The 9,266-nt window shown below is 35.0% G+C and overlaps 1 annotated feature.

The window, feature by feature from the left end:
• Positions 7,333-8,532: an enhancer, noted in NCBI's record as "BRD4-independent group 4 enhancer chr6:72478705-72479904 (GRCh37/hg19 assembly coordinates)". NCBI's record gives its function as "activates an origin of replication core promoter dependent on BRD2, P300/CBP, MED14 and CDK7 cofactors, and independent of BRD4, by STARR-seq in HCT116 cells {active_cell/tissue: HCT116}" and the evidence as "EXISTENCE:reporter gene assay evidence [ECO:0000049][PMID:35650434]".

The raw sequence follows: 9,266 nt of genomic DNA, 5'->3' as shown, positions 1-9,266 counted from the left end.
ACTAATATGCCAGTAAAAGAAATACAATAAAATAATTTTTTAAAATACAAAGGAAGACAGAAAAAGAAGAAAAATAAATAACCAAGGGGAAAAGTAGAAAACAAATAGCAGGATAATAGATGAACAATTAATCAAATCAATAATCACTTTAAATACAAATGGCCTAAACACCCTAAGTAAAAGATAAAGATTGTTGTATTGATTTTTTAAAAAAACACAAGACCCAACAATATATTGCATAGAATAAATGTATTTTAAATACAAAGACAAATATAAGTCAAAAATACAAGACTGAAAAATATATACCATGGTAATAATACAAAAATAAAGCTTCAGTGTCTGGATTAGTATCAGACAAGGCAGGTTTCTGAGCAAAGGATATTGCCAGGGCTACAAAATATAATTTCATAATGATAAAAGCATCAATGTGTCAAAAGGACATAACAATCCTAAACGTTTATGCAGCAAATAACACAAAGTACCAAAGCCCATTCAAAAAGAAATGGTCAACATAAATTGAATTTATAGTTTAAAACTTTTCACAAAGAAAACTCTAGGCTCAGATGATTTCATTAGAAAATTCTACCAAGCATTTAAAAATGAAGTCATATGAATTATACCCCAATTTATTCAGAAAAAATGTAAAGAAGGTATCTCTCATTCCCTGAGGCCAGCTTTTCCCTGATCATGAAAATACACAAAGACATTATAAGAAAATAAAACTACAAACCAATACACATCACGAACAGAGATGTGCAATTTTTTAACAAAATGATATCAATTAAAACCAATGCAGGCTTGGTTTAACATTCAAAATAAATCAGTATAATTCACCATATTAAAACATGTTTTATAAGCAAACAGCTGATCGTATTAATAAAGAAAAACACTTGACAAAGCCAAACATCCACTCCAGATGAAAACTCTCAGAGAACTTTGAATGAAAGAAAACTTTCTTAACCTGACAAACATTATTGTTGAGAAAATTATGGTTAACATCATATTTATTCATGGAAGACCAGATGCTTTACCCCTAAGTTCAGAATCAAAAGAAGAATGTCTATTTTTAACTCTGTTTAACATTGCACTAGTGGTTCTAGAGAGTGGAATAAAGCAAGAAAGAAAATAATGCCGTACGGCCTGATAAACGAAGAAGTAAAACTGTCTTTGTGTACAGTTCATATGTTTGTTCATGTAGAAAAATCAATAGAATCTACAAATAAGCTACCAGAACTAATGAGTTTTATAATGTTTCAGGATACAAGATAAATACAAAAAAGCAATCATAGTTCTATATACTAGCAACAAACACTTAGAAATTGAGATTCAAAAACAATATAGTTTGCAACAGCATCAAAAATAGGAACACATTTGTATATGACAAAACATAGATTAGACTTGTACAGTGAAATCTCTGTAACATTGCAGAGAGAAATTAAAGAAGATCTAAATAAATGGAAAGATATGATTTCTCCTAGATTGGAAGGCTCAATATTGTGAAGAAGACAGTTTTCACCAAAAAGATCTATAGACTAACCATGATCTCAATCAAAATCTCAGGGTTGTGTTTGTTTTTAGAAAATGAGATGGAGATCTAAAATTCATATGGATGTGCAAAGACCTAGAATAGCCTAAACAATTTTGAAAAAATAAAGTAGAAAGAAAAACATTATTTGATTTAAAAAACGATTACAAAGCTATAGTAACAACGACAGGGTGGTATTAAACTTAGACAAATATATTAATGGAACAGAATAGAGAGCTCAGAGGTAGACATATATATTTGATTTTTTCCAAAGAAGCAAAATTGACTCAGTAGATCAATGATAGGCTTTTCAATGAATGGAACTGAAACAACCAGATATCCCTATGCCAAAAAATCTTAACTTAGTCCATACTCATTCCAAATACCAAAACTACTCAACTTGGCCATAGAACAAAAGTAAATTCTAAAACTTTTAACATTTCTGTGAGAAAACATAAAAGAAATCACTATGACTTTAAGTTTGGCAAAATTACCTTGGATAAAGCACTAAACTTTTGATCTATTAAAGAAAATATTGATAAGTTAAACTTCATCAAAATTTTAAAACATTGCCCTTTGAAAACATTTTTAAAAGAATATAAAAAGACAAGCCACAGGCTGAGAGAAAATAATTGCAAAGAATATGTATAATACTGAACTTTTATCCAAAATCTATAATGAACTTTCAAAACTCACTAATAAGAAACCCATATACATGGGCAAAAAACTTGAACACTGTCCCAGAGAAGATATACATATGGTAAACGAGCACACGGAAAAAATATTCAACATCATAATTATTAGGAAAATACAAAATAAATGCACAATGAGATACCATTACATACCTATTAAAATGTCTAAAATTTTAAAAAATAATGGACCATACTATGGGTTGATGACCATGTGGGGCAACTGGCTACACCACAGGTGGAATTATAAAAATGGCAAACTACTTTAGAAAATAGTTTGGCAGTTTCTTAAAAATTAAATATACCCATACATGTTTATCAGGCCATTCCAATTCTAGGTATTTATTCAAGAGAAATAGAAGCATATGTTTATTTAAGAACTTGGAGTTGTATGCCAATGTTTATAGCAGATTTATTTGTAATAGCCAGCAATTGAAAACAACCTAATTATCCATCAACAGGTGAATGGATAAATAAAATTTTGGTTTCTGTAAAACGAACTACTATTCATCAAGGGAAAACAATAAACTACTGATACATGCAATAACATGAATAAATCTCATTATAATTATGTTCAGGGCAAGAAGCCAGGCCAAAAAGTACATATTACATAATTTCCTTTATATAAAACTCTAAGAAATATAAACTAACCTGACGCAAAGCAAATCAATAGTTGTCTGGGGACAGGTGGAGCACATTAATAATGACTAGACATGTACTTTCTCATTGCCAATATATAAGGTTAACTCAAATTTCAGATTTACAATTGGTTGTACACAAGGTACAGGGAGAAAGAGGCAAGCAAGGCAGACCTGACCAGGAACTCCAATAGGAGGAAAATAATTACATGAATTGAAAATGAATACTGTTACTTGAGGCTGTGAACACAGCCTATCCACCCTGCCCACAAGCCTAGTTTAGCAATGGCCACATTCTTCAAAGTGATAATGAAATAGGAAGGAACTCACCCTAAGACCAAAAGATCATCACATAAAATATTAAGTTGTCTTTCCATATGGCCTCTATCTGGTCACAACAGAGACCAACATTTGCACCTTGACATCTCAGCTGTGGTTTTGTTATTTTCATTCTTTCTGAGCACTAACAGAACAACTTACTATTGTGATACAATGTCTTTCATGTTCTGTTCCTTACCTACCTCTTCAGTCTTATACCAAGCCATATTTTATCAACCTCCAAACTACTTCAGTTCTCCTAAAGAACCATGCTTGTTCATAATTCTATGCATTTGCATACAGCACTTTAGGGATGCCAAATAATTTGGATTCAATCTGAAGGCAATAGGAAGTTTTGAAGCAAGTCAAGGTGGGCAGTGACATAGTTACATTTGCATTTTAAAAAGATGGATCGAGGCTTGAGCTGGGTTGTTTGGACAAGTGGAACTATGTCTTCTAGGCCTATCTATACGGGTACTTTATAGATTGCCTGTGGTTTCCTCCATGGTGGGAAGTAGGTGATAATTATGCTAAACCATCCTTTACAAGAAGAAGGAAAGAATATTTAGATTTGAGATGCATATTCTTACAGGTACAAATGTGAAGGACTTCCTCCTGCTCACTGTGTTCAGAACTTTTCCAATGGGAGCAAGTTGTTAGCATTCAGTTTCAATAACAATTTTGGAGGTTTGAAATAATTCTGAAGAATTATGAGAAAGCAAATAGTTATTTAAGGTTTCCATGCTGCAATAGGGTTTGTGATCATACTTTTTTTTTTTTTGAAACAAACCGTACAGTTGTGTGCATTTAATCAAATTATTTAACAGCTTGGGTATAGAGCAGAAAAGCCAGAGATTGTATTAATTTAGTCTTAAGGATTGGCAGGGTAAGTATAGTAGAATTGCCAATTTTTTACAAATATGGGGATGACACCAGAAAGTTATGGAAAGTTTGGAGAAGCAGAAGGGGAAAGGGAGTGAGATAGAGAGTGGATATGACTATTGAACTAAGTTGTAGGGAAAAGTTTCATGCAGTTGGTGGTGGACCCATACACTGGCTGAGTCTACTTCATCCCCTCTCATTTTCTCCCAGAGTCACTGTAATATGACTTCTCTCTTGCACCAAGCATTTGCTTCTCCAAGGTAAACAATGCCCTCATTATTGAATAAACTCTTGTCTTCTTAGTCCTTACCTTCCCTGACATCAGGAAAACCAGATCCCTATCCCAAGCCTGAGACCCACATATAAAATTTCATTAACTATATTTTGTCTTGGGCCAGGCATGGTGGCTCACACCTGTAATCCCAGCACTTCGGGAGGCCGAGGTGGGTGATCACCTGAGGTCATGAGTTCGAGACCAGCCTGGCCAACATGGCAAAACCCCATCTCTACTAAAAATACAAAAATTAGCCAGACGTGGTGGCACACGCCTGTAATCCCAGCTACTCAGGAGGCTGAGGCAGGAGAATCACTTGAATCCGGGAAGTGGAGGTTGCAGTGCACAGAGATTGCGCCACTGCACTTCAGCCTGGGCAACAAAGCAAGACTCCGTCTCAAAAGAAAACAAAACAAACAACAAACAACAACAACAAAAAATACACCCACACCGAACATTTTGACTTGGATGTTTGAGAGGTACTTCAAACTCTCAGAACTTTGCTTGTCCAAGCCTGAAACTTTACCATTCTCCTGGAGTTTTAATCTCAGGATATAGTACCATTGTTCATCTGGGGACCCAACCCTGAAACATGGGAGATTTTTTTCCTCACACTGCAGTCAACCAATCTAGAATTCCTGTCAGTTATACCTCCTAAATATCCTTCAATCTCATCCTGTTCCGTTTTCAAACTGATTGGTATCTTTTCAGCTGTGGATGCTATGGATCATCCTCTTCAAAGGCAATTTTTCCTTGGTCTCTATAGCCTAGTACTTTAGTGGTTTTAGTGTTTTTCCACCTGATCACTCCTCAGACTCTTTTTGATAATAATTTTCCTATCCATTTCTCAAATGTTGATTCCTAAGCCAGCTGTTCTTCTCATTTTTACACATACTCTGGCTATTCACTAACCCCCATGTACTCTACTACAATTTATGCTCCCAAATATACATTTAAAAGTCATACTGACTTTCTGAGTTTCAGATTCCCACTGTCTACTGATCATATTGGATTATCATTGACAAACTCAGTATCCCTAAATATCACATCATGTTCTCCATACCCACTTCTTTGTTAACATCCATCATTTTATTACCATTTCTGATAACTTTTTAATTGCTCTTCTTGCCTCTAGTCTTTCCATACTCCAGCCAGAATTATTTTTCCATAATGCAAATTTGATCTGTCAATTTTTTTCTTCCTAAAAAGGCAATGGTGGCTCTTTGTTGCCCTTCAATTAAAATTCCAAATTCTTAACATGGCTATTCAGGACTCCTCCTACAATTCTCTCCAACATTATCTTTCTCCGTGCTGTGTTCCAACTAGCTGACCTTCTTTCAATTACTGACTCTTTCATCTTGTGTCTTTGCACACCTCATTCTCACTTTACCTTGTTTCCAACTTATTCTTTATGGCCTCTCATGTAGGACTTGGCACATCGTAGGGCATAAAGGCACACATTACATTTCATAGAATGAATCAGTGTCTTAATAATGTTGACCATCTTAACTCATAATATGAGTTTTTTTTCAGAGACAATTCTAGATAAACCAGGCAGATTTCATATATCTCTTTATCTTTGTTCAAAAATAAATCTCTTCCAAAATGTCAGTAGAGGAATAAATGAGGTATAAAACTGAAAGGAACAGAAAATGAGAGCATCAGCAGATGAGAGACTTCAACCCATTGTTAGAATATAAACAGCAGGCAGAGGAGAGATGAGTGACATGGAAGAGCAGAGAAACTTGAACTTAAATGCAGACAGAAGGGATACAATAAGAAGAAAGCAGAACTGCTCATAGAACTGCAGCTTGTCTCAGAATTTCCATAGGTGTGATTACTGTGAAAGACAAGGGTGACAATGAAGCCAGAAAAAAAAGGATTGGTTATAGTCCTGCCCAAGGAACAATTAGGTCTTCAGGTCCTCAGCACTGCCCCTAAACGGTCCAATTTCTGCCCCAGCCCTACATGAGCATGGAGATTTATTATTTTTTTGTCTGGAAAATTGGAACCAGAGAAGGAGACTCAGGGACAGTAGAAGAGCACATAAGTGGGTATGGATTAAGAAATAGAAAAGTTAATTTAAAATAGTCATACTGGGAGGTGAAATCTTCTCCTACTTCCCTTCATCTACTTATCTCCCCCAACACTTGCAACTAGGCTTATATCATGAAGTGCAAAATAGTGGCAGGAGAGAGGAACACTTCTCAGGCTTCCATTTCACTATGCTGACTATGCTACAGTGAAGTCCAACAACCAACAAGCCATGTCATGCAAATAGTGCTTCCAATCAGCTTCTTAGTGCCTCACTCTAAAAGGAACTGAGAGCTAAGAATCCCCTGAAAGTTGAGGAAAGCCAGAAGTCAAGAAATGCAGACTAGGAAATCACAATGTACCCAGATTATACAGAAGCAAAGGAAGGTAACATGTTATTCTTATCACTTTTAGGTTATGAAACACTATTACATCCATGAATCAAGTAAGAGTTGCCACAAAAAAAGACGAATAAAATCACAAGAAAGTATCTTGGAAATGTAATCATTTAGGATCTACAAAATTTTGCTGTGGTAACAACAAAAAAACTCAAGAATTTAACACAATGAAAATTTATTTCTTGTTTGTACCATCTGTTGTTAACCTGGGTGGTTCTCCAACATCGTTATTCTCTCTATGGAGTCTTAGCTTCTCCACTAGGCTGCTCCAAACTTGTGAAGTTTCTATTTAAATATGATACTTCTGGGTTCACCATGGAAGGGAAAGAGAACATGGACAATCACATAGCAGCTCTTAAATGGTTTTACCCTAAGTCCCTGTATTTCATTCACTAAACCAAGTCACATAGCTTCTTTGAAGTATAAGGACACAAGGAATTGTAATCATTTCACATGTTCAGGAAAGAGAGGAGAGCCATATATGTTGATGAGCACCAGTAATATCTACCCAAGATATCTAATTGAGACAACTCCCAGAAAGTAGAACAAAAGGGCAAAGGGATGAAGAGTAGAAGAGAAAATATAAGAAAATATCAGGATAATTCTAAAGGTTTCAGTGTCCAACTAAAACACCCAAGTAACAGAAACAGATATGTTTAAAAATAATAGCAATAATACAAAACATTTACTAAAACCAAAAGCCATACATCAATTAATTAAAATGGTCTACTGAAGTTAAGCAGAATACATGAAAAAAGAAAAAGACACACTAAGACACAGCATTATGAATTTCACAATACCTAGAATAAAGAGACAATCTTTAAAATTTTCCAGAGTGGAACAACACAGATTACATAAAAATGGAATACAAATTAGAATGATATCAGTTTTTCAACATCACTTTGAGAAGCAAAATTGCAAAATTCTGAGTGAAATAATTTTTACACTAGATTTTTAGACTGTTGGTTAAATAATGAGGAAGTAGAATTAAAAATATGCAGATTTAAAAGATCTCAAAATTTTACCTCCTAGGCATCCTTTCTTAGAAAGTAAAACAAGGGTATGAGCTACAACACCAAGAAGTTAACCAAGAAAGGGGAAGGCATGGGGGTCCTGCTATCAGGAGACTCCACACAGAAAAGAGGCAAAAGGAAGTCTCTGGATGCTGGTGCAGGGAAGTTCCAAGATGGCGTCTGCAAGCAGGCCTTGAGAGCCGCCAATCTGGACTGAACTGGAGGAATCAGAGCTCTGGGAGGAAAGTCTCTAGAAAAAATTTAAAAATGAAACATAAGACTATATGGCAAATTGCACTAAGAAGTTGTAAGAAAGTTGTGGAAAGAATTAGTAATCTTTACAAATAAAACTCATCAAATGACAAAACAAGCTAATTATTAACTTCAGGATTATCAAAAATTTGTACAAGAAAAGAAATTATTGTGCAGTATTTGGCAGAGTAAGAACAACATTCACATAATCATAGTAATTTAAACATAGAATATTTGATTTACCCTTTATGGGAAAGAAGCAGTGCAAGGAAGAGACTGGATTTCAAGTTAAATTGTCTGTCTTCAAATAAAAAGGTAATGGCCAAACCTCACTAATAAATAAAAGCAGAATAAGAATACTAGCTACAAATATGAAAGCGGATGCCAGAGAAACAGGTAAAAGAGTTAAATGTGATTGTTTATAAGGATCAAAACTAGGGAATAGGGCAAGGACACAGTAAAAGCCTGCCATTTAGAACACACTGACTTTTTAAGCTGTGTGCAAGTATTAGCTTGGCAAACAACTTTTGAATCATTTAAAAATATTTTGGAAGTTATTTTGAAAAAATAAAGGGGGAAATGTGGTACTCAGAAGTAACAGTAGAAATAATAATGAATTCTTTGTTACAGCAGCACTTACATCCACAACTGAATTACTCAAACCCTTTGTAAGGGGGAATTTCTGCTGGGATTTTTTATTTGCTTTGACGATCTTAATGTTTTGTTTTGAATGGAGTCGTTGCTGAGCTCTGTGACATGTTGAACACCTCACCAAGTTCAGAGGCACATGTGGCAAGGGCAGTCCAGATTCTAAAAGGAAAAAGGGAATTAGGGACCTCTGAGAACAAATCAGGGACACAGGAAGGCTGGTAGCTCAAAGAAATGAGAAATTGAATTAAAAAGTTTTCATTGAATAGGTTAGACCTCCCAGCCATCACACTTCATTGTCACCTGCTGGAAAAAGATCACACTAGGTGAGATCAGCCCTTTGAGTGAGAGTCGTGTGTATGAGAGAGGAAGGGGAAAGAAAGGAAAGGAAGAAAGAGCCAATTTATCTAGGTCAGATTTCTATTCTCAGATAAGCCACCTCTTTTAACTGTACTTAATTACTTCTTTTTTCATTTCAAACATTTACTACAGGGCCTTCAGGGATACTGAGAGTTTCCTTCATAGGTATGCAGTGATATTTGATACAGATTTTTAATGTATTACAATTGATAAGGCAAAGAGCCCACTAAGTTAT

The sequence above is a fragment of the Homo sapiens genome, chromosome 6, assembly GCF_000001405.40.
Source record: "Homo sapiens chromosome 6, GRCh38.p14 Primary Assembly".
Lineage (NCBI taxonomy): Eukaryota > Metazoa > Chordata > Mammalia > Primates > Hominidae > Homo > Homo sapiens.
The sequence above is the reverse complement of the archived record's forward strand: the minus strand, read 5'-3'. Positions and strand labels throughout refer to the sequence as shown.